The sequence below is a fragment of the Homo sapiens genome, chromosome 8 (genome assembly GCF_000001405.40).
Source record: "Homo sapiens chromosome 8, GRCh38.p14 Primary Assembly".
NCBI lineage: Eukaryota > Metazoa > Chordata > Mammalia > Primates > Hominidae > Homo > Homo sapiens.
In genome coordinates this window covers 7,309,461-7,334,526 of record NC_000008.11, presented here as the reverse complement: position 1 = coordinate 7,334,526, position 25,066 = coordinate 7,309,461, and the positions used below count along the sequence as shown (strand labels likewise).

Below are 25,066 nucleotides of genomic sequence, written 5' to 3'. Positions count from 1 at the left end.
TAAAAACGGCGAGCCAGGGTAAGAAAGAAGAGCACCGTTCCTATCTTCTAAATGCATTCCAGTTTCCACTATTCAAGGTGGCGAGAATGATCCACGGATGTGCCACATGAGCAAAATTTCACCTTCCCGTGCCGCCCAACAACTGACGAATGAAACACACCCCAAGAGAAAATAGGAAACCGAGTCCCCTGCAATAACCTCACACGCAAACCTACACGTCAGTAGGTCATATTCAGAAATACACAGTGAATGTCATCTACCATGAACACAAACACACAGACAGTCCCTCCAGAGGTTCGGAAGACTCACGACCCCAAAACTTGATGTTTCCCATGTGTGGGCTCATCCTGAGATACAGCCATCACTATCCAGTTGTCCCTGTTGTAGAGACAGAAACTTGGACTCCTCATTACTTTATGTAGGATTGACGGTGTTCGGGTTTGTTTGGGGGTGTGTGTGTGTGTGTTTGCGTGCGTGCTTGTGGGTGTATTTGTGTGTGTGTGTGTGTGCGTGCACCCCTACGTGTGGGTCGGCACTTCCACTGAGATCACTGGCACACAAGCAGAGCCCTCTTGCTGTGTTTGTTCTTCCCTTTGGCTCTCCTGGTCCTCCCTTGCAGAGAAGCGAGTGTGCCAGTGTTCATGGACTCCTGATCTGTCCGGGTCGTCGAAGAGAGGTTTAGCAGGGAGCTTTGCTGTTCAGGATGATGGTTTTTCATCCCACACTTGTATTTTGATTGATGAATCACAAGTGCGTTGGGAGGCAGGGTACCTTCGACTTTTCCGACGTTGAACTCAGGCTTCGTTTTGTTTTGCTCTTGCAGGAATTTCCAGTGGTCTAAGGTGCTTTCCTGAGTGGCTCTTTCCACCAAGTGCTCGTCCAACTCGGGTGCCTGGAGGCAGGGGTGGTCTCTCTTGAGCTCTCCTTGCTTTGCTCGCCTGTCTGTGTCTTCAGCGCCGAGGGCTCTTGGTTCCCTGCCTCTTGACACACTCTCACTGTGTCTTTCCCATTCACTCTTCTGGATGTAAAAGAGGACATAGGCCTGTTGACTCAGGACAGAAATGATGCTACAGACAGTGACCTCGGCATCATCCATTTTATACCACTGGACTTCTTGAGCTTTGACATAGGAGAAGTAATGTCCGTCGTGACAACTCCACCCAGCGTGGACCAGCACAGCATAGAGGACATAGACAAGAGGTCCTGTGTTCTGCTGAGACATGTATGGCTGCATGTCAAGGCACTCAGGATATTGCACATTCTTGGCAAGTTTGTTGCCTGCGACATCGGAGAATCTCTTCAAGACAAGGATGAGGACCTTGGCAGAAGTGTGTAAAGTTAACGTGTTGGAGGCCGGCGCCCTCTGGAGACAAAGACCGCAATGATAGGCATTCTCTCCATTGAGTTCTTCGGGCTTCACCAACTGTTCCAAAGCTTGCTTGACACTCTGAGCTGCCTGGATATCCAGGGCGATGTCCAGGTAAGGGTCAAAAGTGTCTGAAATCCCGTGGCAGTGGAGACACTTGATTTGAGATCTCCAGCAGCCTCCAAATATTTGGTGGATGAGGGTGGTGTCCTTGCAGTGATGATCTACCTGCTTGTGGCCGGGAAGGCATGCCTTTTTCATGGCATCCACAGTGAACATGAGAAATTCATGGACATCTTCCTGCTTGCCTCTATGGAAGCCAGCAGCCAATGCCTGTGAGGGCTGGATGACATGGCCAGGACTGTGGAGGGCCCATGTGATGTGAGCTTGCATAGTACAGAGCATGCAGCACTTGGGACGCTGACATGTTTGAGAGTGCTCCCGGGACAGCATGTAGTTGGCAAGGGGCAGTGTGTATGTCAGGCACTGCAGGGAAGCGTTCTCGTAGCAGGTATTTCCCATATTCTGGAGCCCAGCCCCCACCGCAGCAGGTCTCCTGCTACTCAGAGGAAGCTTCTCCCTGGGAGCGAGCTGTCTTGCCACAGGAGCCAAATCATCACAGAGGTCGACACGGGTCTCAGATGAGAGTGGTGACTTCTCAGGGAGAGAAGTCCGCTGGATTTCAGCAAAAGCTGCATCTGGCCGAGAAGATGTGAGTTTTGAAAAGTGGTTGAACTGCCACTCACCTCCCAAGTAGAGTGAGTCGTCCCCCATGTCGCCCGCAACAAGGATCACAAGGTTTTTCTGCTGGGACCGCAGGTTGCAGCAAGACGCTATCTCTTCCGAGAGAGTCTTCAAATGACGAGCTCTCTGGCCGCATCATCCCTTATAGAACTCACCCCCACCAACCGCGAACACCCCACCCACCCATCAGGTGCGCGATAAAACAATCAAATATCAGCACTCAATTAAGGAATGAGTCACAGGGTGTGTCCCCTTGCATCGCTGGGAATTCAACAGACACAGCCCACATCATGACTTCTAGAACACCTGAATCAAATTACTCCTCAGGGTGATAGGCACATATAATATGAGTGTAACCGGGTTTGGGCAGTGGCCGCACAGTTGCCTTATTTTAGGTAAAAGAATGTCAGGGAAGAAATCTTTACCTATGAAACCCTGTGTGTGTCTGTGTGTGTGTGTGTGTGTGTGTGTGTGTGTGTGTGTTTATGTGTGTGTGTGCTCGTGCTGGGATGAACTTCCAAGTATGTACTTTTGGCAGCTATCATCATCCTCTCAGCGACAGAAGGACAAGAAATCGGAAGTGTGCTTTCTGACCTGAGATTAGTCAATGAAGTATGGTATTTAGCACAGCGTATTTTTTTCTTTAATAAGAAAGGAGAGATCCGTGGAATGAAACAGAGCTTCCAGCGATAACCTTTCTACGTTCAGCCTATTGATTCTCTGTGCGAATGAAATTACCTTCCAGTGGAGAACAAGAGAACTCTTTGCCTGACATGCTCTTGTGGAAGCTAGGTTGCCAAATAATAAAGCATCAAATGGTAGAAATATGCACTGAAGTTTGAAGAGATACTCATTGCACAAAGTAGACTGTGAAAGACTTTGGGGAAATCATGCAATCACCGAGAGACTAATTGATGACATTCCCCAAATTTATGTGTGCCAGAAAAGAGAGATGGTCCTGACATTGTATAGTGAGTGGTTTCGGACGTGCGGCGGCAGTTTAAGAAAACATGAAACAAAAACCTTGAGAAATCAGAAGGTATCCCAACTATAAGCTTTTGTTTATTAAAGAATTGACCAAAATAAAAACAACTTATCTCACAGCATTGGTGATACTATTTCCATACGTATGTGATAATGGATCAACATTTCATAGATATGAAATAAAATGTTCTAATTTTGACAAAAGCAAACAAGGAAAATTATACCTTAGAAAAGCCCAGGTGACAGTAGTGAGGCCCTTTCTCAAGAAGAATACATCGGAGACGTTTAAAAGCAGGCAGTGAAATAGAAGACAGCATAAAGTTTTTAATACTTGCCCTTGTTTCACAGGGAAAAGGCAAAAATAAGCCGTGTATCTCCTGGATTCTCTCATCGATTGTTCATGATCTGAGATGTTCCCTCCATTTCCAGTTATGCATTGTATGGTGGAATTGCAGTTAGCACATTTGGTGCAAAAATTGTAATGCTGACGAAAGTAGACCTGTTCCCTGAACTAAGAGGGACAGAATTTGGGTGTGTCTTTCGGCTCTCTGGCTTACCAGGAATGAAGGTCCTGGCTCTAGTGATTTTCCCAAAATGTCTTAGACAGTAAGGAACAGGGCAGAATTGAGGCCCGGCGCCAAGGCCTCTAGGTGTAAAGAAACAGCCCTGTCTTCAGGGCTCATGAAATTAGGATGATTTTAAGGATGATGATGTAATGAGAGGACTGTGACCTTTGGCCCTTTTTCTTTCCCTTGTCTTTTCATGGGCCAGGTGTGCTCCATCAGAAGGCTTCCTGCACCTCATGTAAAGTGTCCTGGGGGAAGAAAGGGCACTGCTTAGAAAGATGCTCCACAGGGAGAAAGGAGCCACCATTTTCTGGAGAATGATCCCCAGAATCATGAGCAAGCCAGATGCGGTGGCTTCACACAGGTTGTTGGATGGTCTTATCTCTTTAAGCGGGACCTAGGAATTGGTTTTCTTTAATGCTCACAACTGATTTGAGGTGAGCCGAATTGATATTCTGTCTTCGTGTCATGCTCATTGCACTTTAGTTTCCACACATGTCACACAGAAACACGCTGAATAAGCACATTTTTGTTCTTGAGCAATATTTCACCCAAGATTCTGTGGTTCTACCGTGCCCTGAGTTCTGTCCTGGATATCTCTACTCTTGGGTAGGTCAACTTTGATCTCTGTACCTAATGAGAAATGGACTATGAAATCTAATCAGCAAATATACAAAAATAAGGGGCCATTCTCCACAATTGTTTCTCTCCGGTAGGTCGTGTTTGGTAACTGTATCTAACAAGAAATGAATATTTGACGATTCCTAATCAAAAAATTTCTTGTTTTTTTGCCATTTTAGTTAATTCTTTTAACGTTTAAATAGAGTTTAAAACCCGAAATTTGGCATGAAATCTAATCGTCAAATACACAAAAGGAAGGGGCCATTCTTCAAAATCTTTTCCTCTGAAAGACCACCTCTGATAAACAAGTCTCGTTTCATTACAGGGATCCTGCTTCCAAGATGCAACTTTCACAGCTTCATGATTGACCCAGAATCTCCTCCAATGCCATTTTTTTACCCGCAAAATGAGATTTATTTCAGGGCTTCCGGATTTTATTTTAGCTGAATACATCCACTCTCCTGTTTCAATTTCTTTCAAACGCCTTTAAATAATTATCTTGCTGCATCAGCCCTTATTTAACTACTGTCCACCCACCGAGACCATTACATTTATCCATCAATTACCCTATTTACTAATGAAATATCAGGATTCAATTAAGTTTTTTGTCTTAGGTTGTATCCTCTTGCATTCCTCAGAGAATTTAATGGACACTGCTTACATTGTGACTATGGAAGGGTTGAAGCAGATTTACTTGTCAGTATTATGAGCAAATATGTTAGGAGTGGAACCGGGTTAGGATAGTAGCTAAACATTTGCCTTATTTCATGTATAACAATGCTATTTAACAATTGTGTACATATTAAACAGTTTGTGTGTATGAGTGTATTTGTGTGTTTGTTTCTGGATGTGTGTGTATGCCTTGAGAAGTACTTCCAAGCATGTGCATCTGTGAGATAAGATCATTCTTTCAGTGACTAAATGCCAAGAAGTTATAACTACATTTTCTGACTTGAGAATTTGCAACAATGTGAGGTAATTAACACAGCATATTTTTTGTCTTAATTAAGATGAAGTGATCAATGGAGTCAAATAGACATTCCAGAGATAACCTTCCCATTTTTGGCCAGTTGATTCCATGTCATGTTGTAATGATCTGGCATTGGGGAGAAGACAAGTCTTTGCGTGAAGTGTTCTTGTGGAAGCAAGATATGCAAATAATAAGGCATCAAATAGGACTATTCCCTTCAATAGTGAATGTCGAAACCTTCACTTAAGTTTGATGAAATTCTCAATGCCCAAAATACATTGTGAAACACTTTCAAGAAAACATGCTATAAACCAGAGACTAATTGATGACATACACCGAAGTTATGACTGCAAGAAAAGAGAAATATTCATGGCATTTTTAATCCAAGGGTTTCTTGTATATGACAGCATTTTTAAAAAAGTCAAAATCAGAAAAGATTCACAAATTGGAAGATATCTAAGCTAAATCTTTTGTTTCTTAAAGGAATGATGAAAATAATTGCAATGTAACACACGGCCTGTGTGATAATGTTTTAATACATATCTAAAAATGCCTTAAAATTCAATAGAAATAAAATAACAACTTCTAAAACTTGACAAAAGGAAACAACAAAAATTACAAACTGGAAAATCCTGGCTGACTGGAGTGACATCCTGTCTCAAGAAGGAACAGACAAACACACAAACAAGCAAAGGATTCTAAAAGCAGGGAATCAAACAGATACTTGTACACTATTCTTCCTATTAGCAATCTTCATAGTAGGAAAAGGCAAAAACAACCCAAATGTGTGGCGAATTACTTCATCAGTTTTTTAGGATCTGAAATACTGCCTCAATTTTCAGTTACTCATTGTGGGGAGAACCTGCAGTTACCACATTTGTTCCAAAATTTTATGGTGATGAAGGTAAACCTGTCCGGCATTCTCAGAGGGACAGAATTCTGGTGTTTCTCCAGGTTCCTTGGCTTATCAGGAATGAAGATCCAAGCTGTATAGACGTTTTTCAAAAGTATGTACATACGTATGTATGTATGCATGTATGTATGTATGTATGTATTTCCTCTTTTTAAATTTAAAAAATACAGGATACATGTGCAGAACGAGCAGATTTGTTATAAAGGTATCCTTTGCTATGGTGGTTCGTTGCACCTATTGACTTATCCTGTAAGTTTCCTTCCCTCACCCCCAGCCCCCAACGGGCTGTGTTGTGTGTTGTTCCTATCCAGTCTAGCACTGAAGGGCATTTGGGTTGGTTTCATGTCTTTCCTATTGTATATAGTGCTGCAGTAAACATATGTGTGCATGTGTCTTTATAGTGGAATGATTTATATTCCTTTGGGTACATAGCCAGTAATGGGATTGCTGGGTCAAATGGTATTTCTGGTTCTAGATCCTTGAGGAATAGCCATACTGTCTTCCACAATGGTTGAACTAATTTACAGTTTCACCAACAGTGTAAAAACCTTCCTCTTTCTTCTCAGCCTCACCAGCATCTATTGTTTCTTAATTTTTTAATAATCGCCATTCTGACGGGTGTGAGATGGTATCTCACTGTAATTTTGATTTTCATTTCTCTGATGATCAGTGTTGTTGAGCTTTTTAAAAATATATTTGTTGGTTGCATAAATGTCTCCTTTTGATAAGTTTCTGTTCATATCTTTTGCTCACTTTTGATGGGGTTGTTTGTTTTTTTGCTTGTAAATATGTTTAAGTTCCTTGTCAACTTTGGTTATTAGACCTTTGTCAGATGGGCAGATTGCAACAATTTTCTCCCATTCTGTAGGTTGCTTTTTCATGCTGATGATAGTTTCTTTGCTGTGCAGAAGGTCTTTAGTTTAATTAGATCCAATTTGTCAATTTTGGCTTTTGTTGCAATTGCTTTTGGCATTTTTGTCATGAAGTCTTTGCCCATGCCTATGTCCTGAATGGTATTGCTTAAGTTTTCTTCTAGGGTTTTTATGGTTTTGGATTTTACATTTAAGTCTTTAATCCATCTTGAGTTAATTTTTGTATAAGATGTAAGGAAGGGGTCCAGTTTTGGTTTTCTGCCTATGGCAAGCCAGTTTTCCCAGCAGCATTTACTGAATAGGAGATCCTTTCTCCCTTGCCTGTTTTTGTCAGGTTTGTCAAAGATCAGATGGTCGTAGATGTGTGGTGTTACTTCTGAGGGCTTTGTTCTGCTCCATTGGTCTATATGTCTGTTTTGGCAGCAGTAGCATGCTGTTTTGGTTACTGTAGCCTTCTAGTGTGGTTTGAAGTTAGGTAGCGTCATGCCTCCAGCTTTGTTGTTTTTGCTTACAATTGTCTTGGGTATACGGGGTATTCTTTGATTTCATATGAAATTTAAAATAGTTCTTTCTAATTCTGTGAAAAATGTCAATGGTAGCTTGATGGGTACAGCATTGAATCTATAAATTAGTTTGGGCAGTATGGCCATTTTCACAATATTGATTCTTCCTATTCATGAGGATGAAATGTTTTTCCATTCATTTGTGTCCTCTCTTATTTCCTTGAGCAGTGGTTTGCAGTTGTCCTTGAAGAGGTCCTTCACATCCCTTGTACTCCTAGCTGTATCCCTAGGTATTTTATTCTCTTTGTAGCAATTGTGAATGGGAGTTCATTCTTGATCTGGCTCTCTGCTTGACTATTGTTGATGTAAAGGAATGCTTGTGATTTTTGCACAATGATTTAATATCTTGAGAACTTGGTGAACTTGCTTACCAGTTCAAGAAGTTTTTGAATTGAGATGATGGGGTTTTCTAAATATAAAGTCATGTCATCTGCAAACAGAGACAACTTCACTTACTCTCTTCCTATTTGAATACCCTTTATTTCCTTCTCTTGCCTGATAGCCCTGGTGATAACTTCCAATACTATGTTGAATAGAAGAGGTTACAGAGGACATCCTTGTCTTGTACCAGTTTTCAAAGGGAATGTTTCCAGCTTTTGCCTATTCAATATGATGTGGGCTGTGGGTTTGTTATAAACAGCTCTTATTATTTTGCAATATGTTCCATCAGTACCTAGTCTATTGAGAGTTTTTAACATGAAGGGATGGTGAATTTTATCAAAGGCATTTTTGCATCTATTGAAATAATTGTCTGGTTTTTGTCTTTGGTTCTGTTTATGTGATCAATTACATTTATTCATTTGTGTATGTTGAACCAGCATTTCATCCCAAAGATGCAGCCGACTTGATTGTGGTGGATAAGCTTTTTGATGTGCTGCTGGATTCTGTTTGCTAGTATTTTATTAAGAATTTTTGCATTAATGTTCATCAGGGATATTGGCCTGGATTGAGCAGGTGTGTGTGTGTGTGTGTGTTTCTACCTTGGTTTGCCAGTAGGTTGATGTGTGAGTGTGTGTGACTTTGTGTGTGTGTGGCGGGGGGTGGGGGGGCGGTGAATGTGCGATAGAGAGCCAAACTAGAGCAGAGGAAGTTCCCTGGCCTGCCATGACATTAAATGTTCTGAATTCAAGATACCAAGAGAGGCATGAGACCCACAGTTGAAACTTCATGATGTGGCCAGGTTTCAGGGGTTTCTGGGAGCTGCCAGTGGGCATATCTCAGGCTTGCTCCCACTGACAATCCATGTCTTCTCTCTAAATGGGAGATGGCTCTGTATGGAGAACAGGTAACAGAGAGCATGATGTAAGGGTTCTACCTCATACTCACTAGGAAAGAAAACAGTTTTCATCATCTCTCACTCCATTCCCATTGTAAATCTATAGACACAGGGGACAGTTACCTGAAATATTAGCATAGCTAAAGTCCTCAGACCAAATTAGATGTCCTACCTTCTCATGTGGATCAGATCCTAAAAAAACAACTGCTTCCTGTGGTCATTATCTTTTATCCCAGGCCATTTCCAATCCAGCGGAAGACCTTCTAGAAGAGGTGATGGGTGGGAGAGTGCTGGCATACTACGTGAAGCTACTATTTGGAGTTGGACACGAGTGCATGTGACCTTGTGCCACAGCGGGAATGTGAGCTGGATGACAAATGGAGATTTGGACTTGTGATAATTGGCCTCTGTGTCATTGTGTGGAAGACTGACTGGTCCCTTTATTTCCTGTAGCTTGACTACCACACAAATGAATCCACTCAAATGTTGGCAAGTGGAGCAGAGTCCCAGGACAGGTAAGGCACTTTGCCTGCTTTTTCTTAAGATCAATCCCCATGCCTAAAAATTAAAGTCACATCCCACACGATCATTAAAGTAGAGAGTGCATTCTGCAGGATGAGTGAAAAGGCATTTATGATTCTTGGGGGCAGATGTTCTACAGTAGCCTGTGCTAGTTCATGTCTTTCTGCAGATCACATTCTTAACCTCTAGAGAGCCTGGCAGGACCAGAGCCTTACCTTTCCCAGTCTGCAATCTCTACAGGTACAGAAACACCCCCAGTTCAAGGATCTTCACACCTGGATTTAGGCCTACTCCTGCAACTACCCCAGGTAAGTTTCCTTGTTCTTCAATGGCAAAGTTTGGACAATGCTGTTCAAACTCCAGGCAACAAGCAACATCTAGGAAATGTGCTTTTAGGTAGGGTCAGCATAATATCCCACCCTGGGAGACAGTTTTATTTTATAGTTGTAGAGGGTGATGCTGCTGGTGGCTCCCTCCCAATCAGCACCATTTGCAGCCTCTTTTGAAGATAGAGAACTGAGGGCTGTCCTTCGAATGGAGCAGTGTGATTCCAAAAAAAGAGATGCTCCTTGTGGTCCTGGGACCAGGGATAGGACTCCAGTTGAGCCTGGTGGAATAGGTCCTCGTCCTAACCCAATGGAGAGCCATGCAGCTGAGCTTGGGCGATGTGGTCCACGTGGTTGTTTCTGACTGTGTCCTGTGGTTGCTGGATGGCTTGCAGTTCCCTATGCAGATCCAATGCATCTTTTGCTTTTTTGCTTCTAGAACCTGGAATTTATATGTTCAACATGGAGCCATCCCAGCCATGACAACAGAGAATGTACCACTCTCACGTGAGTAAGAGGGGTAGGCAGTGCTCCTGTATCACCAGCCCTTAATGAGACCCTGAGGAAACCACATCATGGAGATCAGCCCTTCTCTCCTGTAAGGAACTCATCCTATGAAAGAGCAATTAGTGCCTGCAAGAGCTGTCTCTGGGACAGCGGTTCATGTCTATATCTGCAGGGTAACACTCATAGTCATATGCAGTCATATCCATAGTCATATCGGGAGTCAGACTCCAGTTTGACTGAGTGAATGGAGAAACTAAACATTTATTACTGAATAATAACATTAATAAACCATCTTAATGATAATAATAATAAACATATTGATGAGTATTAACAGGAATGATGATGATTATTATGATACTAATATCCATAATTAATAATTTTAATATTGATAATAGTACTAACCCTGTGGACTTGGGACCTAAAGAGCAGTTTCCCCTTACAATTATCCCATATTTGGCCACAGGGGGTAATATCGAGTTCCAGAAGGCAAGGATTAACATTCAGAAAAATAGGAAAAACAACCTGCAGGTAAGCATGTGCACACATGGGGACTCTATGGATAAATACTAAAGTGACTCTTGTTCTGGATCTCCATGTTAACAAACATGCACCAGCTTTCAGGAGGTAGGACAGCTGGCTGATGGGGCAAGGCTTCTTGAGGACATGGCAGGAGTCAGAAATCACACATGCTGCCCAGCAGCAGAGCTCATGACAAGCAGTAAACCCCAGCGAAAGGACCTGGCTGCCCTTTCTGCCATCTGCTCTCCCATGACCTCTCTTGACTGGTACATCTAGGCACTGGAGTAACCTTCACTGGCTATAGGAGGGCATAATCCTCAGTATTCTCCCACCTGCAAGAAAGACAAAAATTAATTGAATACCATGGCTTCTGGGTATTCTTAGTGGGCTTGACATATTTTGCCTTTGCTTTAACAGGCCAGTTATCCAGGCAGTGACTTTCAGTGCAGCTACAGTCACCTCTGGAAACCTGCGGAGACTTTAAAAATTTCCAGAAGGTCAGGAATTTTTGGAGACCTTTCTCATGGCTACATTGCCTGCAAAGGTGAATCAATAAGCTTCTGAACTGACTTAGAAAATGTTGCAGAGACTCTTGTGAACAGATAGACCCTCTCCTGCCACTCAGATAGACGTATCAGGGTCACACACACCTGATTTAACAACATGTCATTATCTCAGGTGGGCAACAGACAGCAATTTAGGACCTATCCCAGTGTGGATGAAAGACATTGAGTTGGCTTAGAAAAATGTTACATAGACTAGATGGGGCAAGAAAGCCCATTCTGGGTCTCAAAAGCCTGCACATAGAGTTGCTGACACATAAAGGGTATGTATAAATTCTTTCTTAGCCCATGAGATCAGGATGTACTTCATCAGTATACCATGCTGGTATAAAGAGATTCTTGCCTCCAAAGGGACTCAGAATATTTCAGGGAACCTGTATTAGTCCATTTTTACACTGTTGTAAAGACACTACCCCACACTGGGTAATTTACAAAGGGAAGGTGTTTAATTAATTCACAGTTCTGCATCGCTGGGGAGGCCTCAGGAAACTTACAGTCATGGTGGAAGGCAAGACAGAAGCAGGCACCTTTTTTCACAAGGTGGCAGGAGAGAGAAGTGAGTGCACAGAAAAAAAAAACCTCCTACTTTTAAAACCATCAGATCTCCTAAGAATTCACTCACTATCATGAGTATAGCATGAAGTAAACTTCTTTGACACATGGCGATTACAAGTCCCTCTGTCGATGTGTGGGGATAATAATTTGAGATGAGGTTTGGGTGGGGACACAGAGCCAAACCATATTATTCTGCTCCTGGCACCTCCCAAATCTCATGTATTTTATATATATTTCAAAACCAATCATGCTTTCCCAACAGTCCCCCAAAGTCTTAACTGTTTCCAGCATAACTCAAAACTCCAAGTCCAAAGTCTTATTTGAGACAAGTCCCTTCTGCCTATCAGCCTATAAAATTAAAAAAAAAAAGTTAGTTACATCCACAGTGGGGACCTCATGACCCTGACCAGGGCCCTATCCTACTGTGGCTCAACTGATATCCAAGATGCAAGACAAAGTCCTTTTTACTCTTTCCTCTAATCTCCTCTAGCAGAAGGAAGCGGTCTTTTTTGGAGCTGCAAGCTGTGCTGCCTGGGGTTGGGGGAGTGGTAATGCAAGTACTCCTTTAGCTCTCCTGGCTGGTGTCTCAGTAGGTTTTATGGCCACTCACCTCAGTACACTGGCTCTGAGTACAGTACTATTGTGTCTGCAGTAGTGTATGAGATGGAAAATAAGTCCCCATTCTCCAAGACTCTTCTTGAGCATCAAGGCTGCCTGATTGTTGAGATATAGCTACAGACTTTCCTCGCTGAGCCTAGCATGCACATGTTCCTCTGCTGGAAATAAAAACAAAAACAAACAAACCACCAAACAACTTCCCACAAGTGGAATGTTCTGGGACTCAAGGCCATCTAGATTATTTTGTCCCCAGGGTGCTCCCTTGATGTGGTGTGCTTCCTCTTTCCTCAGAGTAGGAGGCCATGAAATTCAGATTACTGCATATGCTGCTGCTGCTTCTCTGGGTCTAGCTACCCAGTGGGGATGCCGCACACCAGGCTGGTGCTCAAGAATGTCTGCAATGGATCCAGTGATATAATTTGTCCTCACGTCTCACAGCAGTGTGTATCAGCAGCTGATCAGATGGGGATGGCAGGGGAGTGTTGTAGACTCTGAAAGATTCCTTGGTTATAAATAGTCCTAGTGTGTTGTGTATTGGATTTCTCAAATGCCAGTTGTAGTAGTAATGAACTCATCACATGGACAGACTCAGGGCCTCCTGCTTAGCCAGAATGATGCAAGCAATGGTAAAAGTTGTGGTCACTCACAACTTTTCTCCTTCCTGGGTGCTATGTTATTCTACCTGCAGATGCTGTAAAGGACTGTCAGTAGGCCTTCAGCCAGGAGGTGGTGCTTCCAAAAGACTGCCAGCTGTGGTGGTAGTGGTGAGATTTGGACTTGCCTTATGTTACCCATTGGAGGCACTCTGGTGTCTCAGGAAATAAGTGGAGCCAAAGAGCTTCTAAAAGTTTCTTCAGTTATTTGTGTTAATCTACCAGGGTAGGTGGTTGAGCAAAGCCAGGTGGGAACTAGGTCAGGTAAGGTGATGCTCTGGCTGTCTATGTGTGGGACAAGCAGTGGCTCCAGTGGGAATTGGAAGGCTGTTCTTGGGCCACTGGAGTAATTTTCCAGAGAGAAGTGAAACTGTCACTGCCTCTGTACAAGGAGAGTCTATGTGAAGAATGGGGAGTAGCAGCTTGGTAGTAAGCCCCATCCAGCTCCCACACACTTGGCAAGGCAGGTCTCACACCCACAGTGTTCCAATGGGAGTAGCTAGCTAAGCTTCAAGAAGTCTGGGCTCAGAACTCAAAACTGACCCATACCATAAGTCTCCCCTATGGAGACAGCAACTGCAACCTTCAGGCCACACCCTTCCTGATCCACCTGCAGAGCAGGGGCCCCCAGCTCCTGTGCTTGCTGCTGCAGCACACTTCCCACTCACCTCTCAGTTCTGGCCTGGGGAGTTTGTCCCCAGTCAAGATTATATCACACATTTCATTTGGGAGGTTGTCTCAACCTGTGACAACCATCTGAGTTACCTGGCAGACTTCTAGGAGGTCCTGTCTGAGGTAGAATCAGCAATGGCTTCCCTCCATTCTACCAGAAACTGGGAATGTGCTGGAGATTCAAAGCACATCCCAATGCCACTCCTCATATACTCACCACTCTTCCCTAAATCAGCTCCAGCGCTGAGGAGGGTTAAGGCCTTCCCTCACGGCCTGGATTGATAGGTTTCCCAGTGGAAGCGTATATCTTAGAGTCAGTTACCCTCCTGTCACACCCTGGAAACTTACAATTTTCTGCCTAGCTTATGGTGTAAGCTGCATCCTGCTGTTTCTTTCAAATGGTCTGTGGCTTATTTCAATTTTCCTGTTAAATTCCTGTGTTGCTTCTTGAAAGAAAGTTCACAGTGTGAGTCTCTACACACCAATTTCTCTTTCCAAGTGCAAGAGGCAGACTAACAATGCCTTCAATCCACCATCTTGGAAAACAAAAGTAACAGTTTTCTCATTTTTAAAAGTTTTGTTAAGATATGTTAATGATTCACAAAGAAATAGTACTTGGGTGTATTTGAAATTAGTATTTATTCATTTATGTTGATAAGTGAAAATGCAAGACGGTTATCAAGATGGAAGTACTTAATATGTATATTTTAATATTCTTAGATGCAAATAACTTCACTTTTGATGTATTTTTATTTTGTTTCAGTTTCATTTCAAGTTAGGTTTAAGGGGTTCTTGATAATCTGACATGATAAGTGGTGTTGGAATTGGCATTAAAATCCACCATGCTCTACAGCACTTCATCCTTCTTCGGCAGGCACCAATTTGATCTTCTACTATGTTGCAGACATCTGTTCTGCAAACACCAAACAAATTGAGACAATGACCTTCCGCAGGACCCAAACCACCTCTTACTGAAGGAAAGAAGATCCAGTGAGATAGTTAGTCCACAAATGGAATGTAAATCCATAAACACTCTTAAGTAACAGAATAAATTTAGTATGAACGTTTTTATGTGGGAGCTCTTGACATGGTTGCTGCTCATATGTCAGAGACACATGCAGTTTAAGAAAGGTAGCAGTTCCAATCCTGGTTTGGCCCAACAGTCACTGCATTTTTGGTGGGGAAAAGGGATGTGGGAGGAGATGGTACCTCTTCATCTTTTTCTCTGGGTTTTCTGTCAGAAAGGGATGTTGCTTACTCCAGTGGCAAAAAATGCCAGTGTCTTCTGCCAGAGTGGGTTACTGAGGGCCCTGGTGCTTCCACCTTGTGGCTGATACAGATAGTCCCTTTCTGCTTTTGTTTCTAGCCAAAAAAGATGTTTCTGGCATCTCAGGTATGCTGATTTCAGCAGCTGTTTTTTCTATATGGCTATTTTTTTTTTCTTTCACTCTCTCTCTCTCTCTCTCTTTTTTTTTTTTTTTGTTGGCTTCACTGTGTTGCCATAGTTTCTTAAATGGTCCCTTGAACCCTCCCAGTGCTATTTTGGTTTGTACATAACTATCTATATATTTTTTTTCTTTGGGGGAGTGTGTAGAGCTAAAGGCTGGTATATGCTGCTCCTGCTCCCCGAAAGTGACATTATTCCCCTAAGCTAATATTTCAGGCTTTCAATTTATTCGTGGTTTCACCTGTTTAAACATAAGTAGAAATTACTTTTTCTCTCCATATTTAGATTTGATCTATCTACTTTAATTGCTAATAGTGTCTTAGTCATAGAATAGATTAGTTAGAAAAAAGTGTTTTTGACATTATAAATGATTCTTTCAATTTGTGTCTAAAAGTGGAAAATACTAGAAAGCTTAACATTTATTATTGTATTCAGACCAGTATTTCCTCCAGATGACCTTTATTACAACAAAGATAATTTAATGAAGATCTCTCTAATGGTAAAGCTGATGGCTTTGTGCTATTACAATATCCTTCGAATAAAGTGACAGTCTGGTGGAAAGAACAACTAAAGCAAGGATTAGGAAGAAAATAGTTAATACCTTCATTTTGGTCTCACTCTGCATTAAGAGTTGTCATCGTGTTAAGGGTTTATTATACATTAAGTAATTTAATGTTTATTTAATAATAAATGGATCCTATTAAATATGATTTTTAAAATTATAATCACATTACTTTTATTCACATCTGTCTACTGATGCCATTCCTAGATAAGAATGGTATCACATTATTTTATTTTTTTTTCATTTTGCCACATCTTTACTTACTTAGGTTTATGCTGTATCAAACAATGTATGTGTGCGAGTAATGGATGATTCAGGAATGCATGAGGAGGAGGTTTAAGCTCCTTAACCTTGAACAATTAAAATTAGCAACATAATATTGAAATACATACAGAACGCTCAAGTGGTACTTTCAAAATAGTGTATATTTCCTCTGTTTATTTGTAGCTTTTAAACCCAGCTAGAAGCATTCTATTTCCTTTAGGCACCATAAGTCTGAAAGTCTGTAGTGAAAACTACAAGTACTAAATGATGCTAATTCATGTGCTCCCACCTGTGGAAGAACTGAATGTCTTAGATAAAAAAAGATGGTGCAATTGGTGTACAAAGTATCTAGAATACAATTTGGTGGTGGTTTTTTCTGTTTCCATAGCAGAGTAACATATATAATATTGCCCTTTCATCAAGTTATTTAAATATGCCTTTGAACGGGGAGAATTGAAAATAATACTGTGAATCCTGGTAAACATTTTAAAATAATGAGAAGAATATTGCGTTTTCAAAGTCAAAATTTGTCTGATTACAACCCATATAGCAATTTCATAGCAAGCACTTCCTTCAATCCTATTAAAATCAGAAGGAAAAGAAGAATATCCACTGTCAATGTTGTATTGATATAGTTCTAAAAGTTTTGGACAATGAAATATGTTGTAAGAAGAGAAGTCAGGGGAGACTTGAGCCCATTGTTTCCTCTCACCTTCTATACCTCCCAAAATACCACTGGAATGTTGTAACATTTTGAAGAATCTATAGCAGTGTCCCAAATCATAGAATAGTATGAATACATCTGAATCTTTAATATCTCCAAAATATATAAAATAGGTGTGATTAGAATGAAAGAAAGATTTAGGCTTTTGGCCATGACTGCAAGTTAGCTGCTCTCAAATGACTGCTGCTATCGAACAAATACATTTTAGACGATCTCTTTGAAACATTTCTATTCTTGAAAATGGTTAGGCAAGTTCTTAAAATATCTCCTCTTTCAAACACAAAAACAGTCTGTGAACTGGAGCTTGAGCACTAGGCACTTTGTATTGGCTAGCTGATGGAGGTGGGTGAGGGTTTCCCATATCTTCTGGGAAGATCTGCTATTATCAACAATGCTAATGGTGGTACTACTGACTCTTGGGCCATCAGAAATTCCAGTTCGTTAATCCTGGAACTTCTATATTGAGATAAAGGATTGAGTCAGTTTCACAGAGGAAGTTTGAATAATAGCATTCTTATTTCAGACTGTAGAATGATGGCAGATTAAGGATGAGCAATGAGTTCATCATTAAAAATGATCAGGTAAGAAAGAAACCATGAATAAAAGTTAATGAAATGAATAGCACATTTAAATCCTTGAAAACTAAATGTATTGAAATTGTCAATGTGGAGAAATAATTAAGCAGCTGTGTATCGATTGTTTAAAGAAAAAATCTACTATTACAAAGATGTAAAAACAATAGTAAAGCTATATAGATGATAGAAAAAATGGGCAGGTCTGGCTGGGCATGGTGGCTCATGCCTGTAATTGCAGCACTTTGGGAGGCCGAGGCGGGTGGATCACGAGGTCAGGAGTTCAAGAACAGCATGCCCAAGATGGTGAAAACTTGTCTCTACTAAAAAAAAATGTATATATATATATATATATTAGCTGAAGATGGTGGTGGACACTTGTAGTCCCAGCTACTCAGGAGGCTGAGGCAGGAGAATCACTTGAACCCAGGAGGTGGAGGTTGTAGTGAGCCAAGATTGCAACACTGCATTCCAGCCTCGGCAACAGAGTGAGACTCTGTCTCCAAAAAAACAAAACAAAACAAAACCAAAATGCAGTTCTAAATTAAAAAATTTTAAAAATTAATGCAAGTTATTAATGATATATTAGATATAGGTAACAGGATAATTAGTAAAGAAAAAAATGCTTAAATGATATACCCAGAATGTAGCATGGAAACACAAGGTCTAACATTTATTTAATTCAAATATGCGGGAAGAGAAGTGTAAGAGGATTCACCATTTCAAGAGATTCTCAAAAAGAAATTAAGAAAAAGTATAAATCCATTGATTCAAAGAATATATTTCTAACAGATGATATAAAAATAAATTCACATTAGTTAAATTATAAAATATTAAAACCAAACACCAGACCATACAAACATTGAAAAAAGGACAATTTATAATGAAATAATATTTATCTGAATATCATAGTGAAGCACAAACTAAAAATGAATAAACTAGTATCAACAAACGTTGAGAGAACATAACTGTTAATATAGAATTGGGTACTCAGTAATGTTGTCTTTCAAGAACAAAAATAACAATACAAAATTGACAGATAAAAACTAAAATTGTTCACTACCAAGAGATCTGCAGCAAATAAAATTTCAAAGGCTATATATCAGGAAGAAAGAATTTAACCCAAAAGCTGATCTCAGAGTCAACTTGGAATTCCATAAATATCACTAAACTGATGATAATAGTAATACTTTCTGACATGGGGGGATTCTGGAAAGAAGTGAACTTTTACTTTTGTTTAGAATTTAGAAAGTTATAGAAAAATGCTCTTGCCCTGACAAAAGAATAAGCTGGATAATCTATAGATCATAGATTTCATTTTAAAAGACAGAGCTGAAGTCTTTAAAAAAAGCTAATTAACTTAAATTCAGAGTAATGAAGCCCTACTGAAAAAAGAACGGATCCACACATGCTTTGTGTGTACCTGAGTTGCAGCAGCAGAAGCAGGAGGAAGCTGCCCTTGATGGAGATAAGAAGGAAACAAGTGAACCTCAAGCAAATGTTGAAAGGCTGAGTGTGGGCTTGTGATAGTTTAGCATCAGTAGGGGCCCAAACACACTCACTCTCATTCACTCACTAATGATTTAATGCTTTTCTTTTCTTTCTTTCTCTTTCTTTCTTTATTCTTCTTCTTCTTTTTTTTTTTTTTTTTGACGGAGTCTCACTCTGTCGCCCAGGCTAGAGTGCAATGGCACGATCTCGGCTCACCGCAACCTCCGCCTCCAGGGTTCAAGTGATTGTCCTGCCTCAGCCTCCCGAGTAGCTGGGACTAAAGGCATGTACCACCGCACCCGGCTAATTTTTTGTATTTAGTAGAGAAAGGGTTTCACCGTGTTAGCCACTGACCTCGTGATCTGCCGGCCTCGGCCTCCCAAAGTGCTGGGATTACAGGCGTGAGCCACCGCGTGTGGCCCCACTAATGGTTTTTTCATGACCTATCTTGTGTGCTCCTAGGTAAGATCAGATGGAGAGCAGGAGAACTACCTGAGACACTTTTGAGGGACAGGCATGTAGGAACTGGTGCAATTTGAGGTCAGAGCAAGGTAAAGGTCTCACTGTGAGAATCGAGGAAAACCCTGTGTTACTGGGGAGTGGGTTGGGGAGCTGAGAGAATCCCCCCTTCACTCTCTGTTCTCACAGGTGCATAAGAAGAGAGGCATGATGAGGTCTGAAGGCAGGGCAGGGCCGGTAGCTGAGAGAAGTAGTTTCTCTGGTCTTTCACTGAGTGTGTGGCAGCTACTGCCCGAGGTTGGGCAAGGGATGGGAGCCCTGAGAGATTCTTGAGGTGCAGAGATAGAGGCTTGCTGAGGATGAAAGTGGACAGGAAAGCTAAGAGAGGCTCCAATGCTGACCATGGCACTCTGCAAGAAGAGAAAAAATGTGTATGTAGAGGTTTCTGAGGGAAAATCGTGAGTCTGGTTTTGGATATATATTACTTTTGAAATCAAGTGTCCAAGTAGATATACCAGTTATGCAGTTGGATAATTTATTATAAGCCTGGAGTTCAAAAGGAGGTCCAAAAGGAGAATTGAAAGGGATGAGACTTGCTGAGCCCCTCCAAAGAGTGTGTGGTGAGGGAGAAGAGAAGAGGACCAGGAACTGAGCTCTGGAGCTCTCCTGTAGGAGGTGTGAAGCAAAAGATGAGGAAGAAACAAAGGAAGCCGAAGTGGTAGCTCCAGTGAGACAGGCTGAGAATCAAGTGAATGAGCCGTCCTGGAAGCCAAATGAAGAAAGTATACTGTGAAGAAGGAAGTGATTATTTGTGTCAAATGCTGCTAATAGGTCGATTAAAGTTGTAGTGAAAAATGATCATTGGATCTAGCAATGTGGAGATTATTCATAACTTTGACAAAAGTGGTGTCAATAGCATGATCGAAAAAGGGGGAGAGAGCCTGATTGGGATATATTTAAGAAACAATGAGAGCTTGATTGGGATATATTTAAGAAACAATGAGAGGAGAGGAATTGAAGACAGAGAATATGGACAACTATTCTAAGATGTTTTGCTGAAAAGTAGAGCAAAAAAGGGGAGGACAGCTGGCATCAGAAGAAAAGCAAGGAAATTCTTTTTCTTAGATCAGAAAAACAACAGCATATTTGTATGCTGATGGTAATAATTTACTAGCATCAAAATTGATGACACAGTCATGATATAGTGAACTGCAACAGGAAAATCCCCAAGTACACAGTGAAGACGGAATATACACAAATTTAAAAATTATTTGAATCTCTGAAACATCTGTTTTGATATTAACCTTTCATTCCTGCAATAGTTATTTTAAGCATGTTCTCATTTTCTCTTGTTCAGTGTTGCCAGGTTATTATAAAGTGTATTAGACTTTTTGAAAAACATTTTTTAAAATACTGTTTTTTCTCATTTGTTTCATTAATTTATATTTTGTATTTATAATTTTCCCTTTATCTTCTTTAGGTTTATTATGCTGTTTTTTTTTTCCAAAAGCCCCCAAAATGCATGCTTAGCCCAGTAAATTTTAGCCATTTTTGTATTGAAAGTTATGTTACCCATTTCTGTGTGGTTACCTGTAATATACCTTGAGCAGCACTTGTTGGTGTCTTTGCTCCTTATTAATTCACTTGTCTGAAGTTCCTTTAACTCTCCTTTCTACTCTTCAGTTGCACTTTGAAAATCATTTTTTATTCATAACCACATAAAACATAATTTATTTTGAAAAGTCTCTCATATAATTTTCATTTATTCTAGGATTATAGTTTTTCTGTTTCTTCGAATAAAACCTTCAGATTTGTCAACACCCATTTAGAGTAGCTCCTATTGATAGGATACCATCCATCTCTTTTGACCTATTAAGTGAATATAATAATAGATGCCACCGAAATTCAATCCTGTCAGATCTAACTGCCTGCATATAAATTTCCATGTCCCGCAAAGGCATCTCATTGAGGTCATGTTCTGTTGTATCCTTACTTTGTATCTTGAGGTGCTTGGTGGGGCATGGAAATTTACATGTAGGCAGTTTCATCTGACAGGATTGAATTTCAGCAGCATCCATTATTATATCCACTCACTAGGTCAAAAGACATGGATGGAATCTTATCAAGAGGACATACTGCTAAATGAGTCTCTTTTCTATTTTTCCCTATTATAATCCTAGTGAAGCTGTAAATATTAGGTTCTTGAACCCACAGGACTGATTCTAGGTTCTTGTCTGGCCAGGGATATAGCATTCTCATCTGCAGAACCTTATAGTAATGAGCTACCAACTTACCTGGGGATAAGAGAATTGAAAAAAGAAGGAGAATAAGGAGAAGCAAATGGAGTCTCATGGCTGAAGGGCCAGCATCAATGTGGGTTGAGCCTGGAGTCTCTGGGCATCGTGGGTCTAGGCCTTTTTATGATGCTCTCTGAGTCTGTGATTTGTTCTTGGTCAGTAGAGCCTAACGAAAAGAGAATAACTAAATCTCCCACGGGAAACTTCCAGGGACACATAAGTACATAAAGGTGGTGATATCTCAATGGATGAGAAAGCAGGTGAATGCTATTTATTTCCCAAAGATTCAGGATGTCTTTATTGTCACCTGCTTTCTTTATTATTTTTGACATGCATATGCAATAATCATTGATCTCACTTTATACATCTATTGTTTGCCAGGCAATATAGTAGGAACTGAAGTAAAATTGTTATACACAAAAAGTACATAATTAATGGATATAGTTTGGCAAGTTTGCACATAAGTATTATCTTGTTACCACACCAATATCCAGGTAATAATATATCCATCACCTCCAAATGTTTCCTACGTCCCTTTGTTGTGGTTGTTGTTGTTGTCAGAACCCCTAAGATCGACCCTCTTAACAAATTGTTAAATACAAAATACCTTATTGTTAACTATAAGTACTATGGTTTGGAGCCTATCTCTGTAATTGATTCATTTTTTATAGCTTTAACCCTTGAACAATAACTCCCCATATTGCTCTTTCCCCACTCAGTAAAACACCAAACTCTTTTAAAGCACATTCTATATAATCCACTTTATGAAGCTTTTCCTAACACTCTTCTATCTGTTCCCCCCCCCCACCCAAGTAAAGGGAACTACTAATATAACAATTACCTATTTTGGATTATTGCATCTTTTACAAACATTCCTTCATGAACCCATTTAACACTTATCTCCATTATCTTATTATGAAGTAAAATAAAACTTGACTTGATTTTAAAAATGAAATCACAAAAGAGCTTTGTAAAATTATGATGTACCATTGCTTATTTGTAAGAATTCAAGTTACACTAGGGGTTTTTAAAAATCTTTTGTTTTTATTTGTTGCATATTGTAAGCACAGTGTCTTTTCCAGCTATTTGCTTTGGGAAGGAAAAGTTAGAGTTACAATGAACATCATAGGCTATCTTGTCTAGTCACTTACATTACAGATGAGGAAATAAGCTGAGGGAAAGGAAGAAACTTGCCCAGGATCACCCAGTGATCTAGCGAGGAAGGCGATAGGGACAGCACTAAGGCTTGGTATTCTGAGCCTCATTCTATTTTCTCCTCTTGCCCCTTCTCTGTTTCCTCCTCTCTTCCCCAGACTTCCAGAAAAACTTTACAGTTCTGCTGCAGTGTCTACCTAAGGACATCCAGAGGAGACCTCACTTTTCATTAGACTGCTTTTTTAAGCACTGTCTTGCATTTTCTTCTTCAGTCTTGTTTTATCCCATTTATGGCTATAAGTAATGCTTCTGCTGTGCTGTTCTATCCAATTAGTTTCTTCTATTTTCATTGAGAGAAAATTAAAACAAAAAACCATTAGTTTATCTAAATTTGAAAGTTTTAAAACTTGATTAGAATTTCCTGGGATATGGATGTAAGACATATATTTTAAAATATTTTTCATTTTCAAAATTAAAAATCAAACCCATATATTTAGCCAGGATGACTACTTGATAACTACTAATCAGATGGGTCTTCAGCAACGCCACAAGAATAAAAATCTTATAAATCAATTCCCTGGTGTTATGTGCTACTGAGTTAATACAATTTGATATGATATCACTTTTAAGCAGGCTTTACGGAGTCACACAAAGGAACAGCACAACAGAACCATAGGGTGGAATATATAGGGAAAGCTGGGATGTAAAACCCAGCCTTGACTCTGACACTTACTCCACTGTTGGGAAAAGCACTTCAGTTCCCAGAGCCTTAATATTTTCCTCTATAAAACAGGAAAAATAGACCCATATTTAAGGTTTTGTCAAATCTTGTTGCTGAGTGATTTTACAGTGTCTGCAGCTATCCTCTCTGCTAATCATAACAAGGCTAACAAACTGTTCTTTTGTTTAGTTAAAGATATTTTTGCATTTGTTTACAAATTGTTATTCTTCCCTTCACAGAAAAGGAAACATTTTAAAGGTAATTTATAAAAGGTTAAGAGTCTCTTACATATCAACTCTTCACAATGTGACAGAGTAGCTTAACCCCATCCCTAAGAGTATAGTTTCAGATCAGCCCCAAACCTATGTGGAGTGTGGGATACAGAATATATTTCAAACACATGCAAAGGCACGCACATGCACACACACACACACACACACACAGTATTACCTAAGGCAGAGGTGCAGATGACAATCTTGGATAGACAGCTCAAAACTCTTAGTACTAAAATAATCCTAATAATAATTTTCCTTCCAAAGTCACCACCAACAATCAGATCTCTTAAGGGTTGGTGACTTAGGTTTTCGAACCTTGTGTATCTTTTGGCTTTTTTTTTTTGGTTGTGTGCTATTTATCTCATACAAAGAAACCTCTTCTTCATCCTATGCAAGTGCTGTATTGTAGGGGCTTGTTGACGTCTTCCTGGTATGTAGCAATCCAGGTGACTGGCCTCTGGCTTCTTAGGAGCAAGGCCATCACATGCTTTTTTTCTTTGTCTGCTTGTTTCCTTGTAAGGGCCCCACATACAGTGGGCGCTTAACAAAAATTTGATCAACTGAACTCATTCTCCATCTCCATTATCTCCATTTCAATCTTTCCCTTTTACTTCTTCCAGATTAGTTTTCCTACAGCAAAATGGGAATTGTCCAAAAACTGCCCTTCATCTTTATAACTTGAAGGATTCATTTACCCTAAGCAGTCCTTTTAAATTTACTATCACAGACTAGATAGAAAAGTCTGGGTTCACCAAGAATAGGCATGTGTGCCATCATATTTTCTGTTGAAAACTTTGGAAAGTGTCTTTTAGCAAACAACATAAAGCATAGAATTTGACCATCCCTGACAATGTAAAAGGACGATCCGCATTCTTACACGTCCATGGCTACTTTCCCACTCCTTCCCCAACCTTGAAATCCTGAATTCAAAAGAAAATATGAGAAGATAGTTTGCCTCATATAAGGCAACATGTTGCTTAATCTTTCTTGCCTATACAAGTTCAAGAGCTCCAGAAAATTTTCTGATCTACTTAGGATGCCTGATCATCTTCTTGGGTAAAAGCAATAAGTCCTACACAGAATCACCAAAACCATGTCTGTTCAAGGGGTCTTATACCTGTGATTCATGATTGCATGCTCAATGCAGAAGGGCATGCTCTGTTGCAGGGTCATATCTGGTCATTGTGTTTAAGTTCTAATTTAGAAGACTAGTTGCTGAGGAGGAAGAGGGAAGGATAATGTTAGGAAATGGAATCAAACTTAAGGGGAAAAGTCAAGTACAGGGGACC

At 40.4% G+C, this 25,066-nt stretch overlaps 2 protein-coding genes and 1 long non-coding RNA gene across 4 annotated transcripts in view; 1 reads left to right on the top strand and 2 right to left on the bottom strand.

The window, feature by feature from the left end:
* Positions 1 to 25,066, top strand: part of FAM66B (family with sequence similarity 66 member B) — a 56,620-nt gene that overhangs the window by 20,837 nt on the left and 10,717 nt on the right. Inside the window, exons 3-6 of the long non-coding RNA NR_027423.2 lie at positions 9,329 to 9,390; positions 9,638 to 9,705; positions 10,163 to 10,230; positions 10,694 to 10,758. This is a non-coding gene — a long non-coding RNA (family with sequence similarity 66 member B). The remainder of the gene's footprint in view (positions 1 to 9,328; positions 9,391 to 9,637; positions 9,706 to 10,162; positions 10,231 to 10,693; positions 10,759 to 25,066) is intronic.
* USP17L1 (ubiquitin specific peptidase 17 like family member 1) lies at positions 548 to 2,140 on the bottom strand. Its single transcript, NM_001256873.1, has one exon. It carries the CDS (start codon positions 2,138 to 2,140, stop codon positions 548 to 550), a length of 1,593 nt encoding a protein of 530 aa, NP_001243802.1.
* On the bottom strand, positions 14,431 to 24,992 carry DEFB109B (defensin beta 109B). 2 transcript variants are annotated; one of them, NR_172880.1, is made up of 3 exons: positions 24,895 to 24,992; positions 21,624 to 21,792; positions 14,431 to 14,723 (listed from the first exon to the last, which is right to left on the bottom strand). NR_172880.1 is itself a non-coding variant. In NM_001037380.2 (2 exons), the coding sequence occupies exons 1-2, from the start codon at positions 21,679 to 21,681 to the stop codon at positions 14,576 to 14,578; spliced, it is 264 nt and encodes an 87-aa protein (NP_001032457.1). In that variant the 5' UTR covers positions 21,682 to 21,805; the 3' UTR covers positions 14,431 to 14,575. The 2 variants fall into 2 exon arrangements, 1 of the variants encoding a protein (NP_001032457.1); NM_001037380.2 differs by lacking the exon at positions 24,895 to 24,992 and having other exon boundaries at positions 14,431 to 14,781; positions 21,624 to 21,805.

What these genes read in the sequence shown, in the direction of transcription:
- USP17L1 (NM_001256873.1), bottom strand. Translation starts at nt 2,140, where the DNA reads ATGGGGGACGACTCACTCTACTTGGGAGGTGAGTGGCAGTTCAACCAC.
- DEFB109B (NM_001037380.2), bottom strand. Translation starts at nt 21,681, where the DNA reads ATGAGACTCCATTTGCTTCTCCTTATTCTCCTTCTTTTTTCAATTCTC. An exon ending in TTCAATTCTCTTATCCCCAG is followed by an intron (nt 14,782 to 21,623) that starts GTAAGTTGGTAG and finishes TCTTTCCTTCAG; the next exon opens with TAAGAGGTGGTTTGGGTCCT.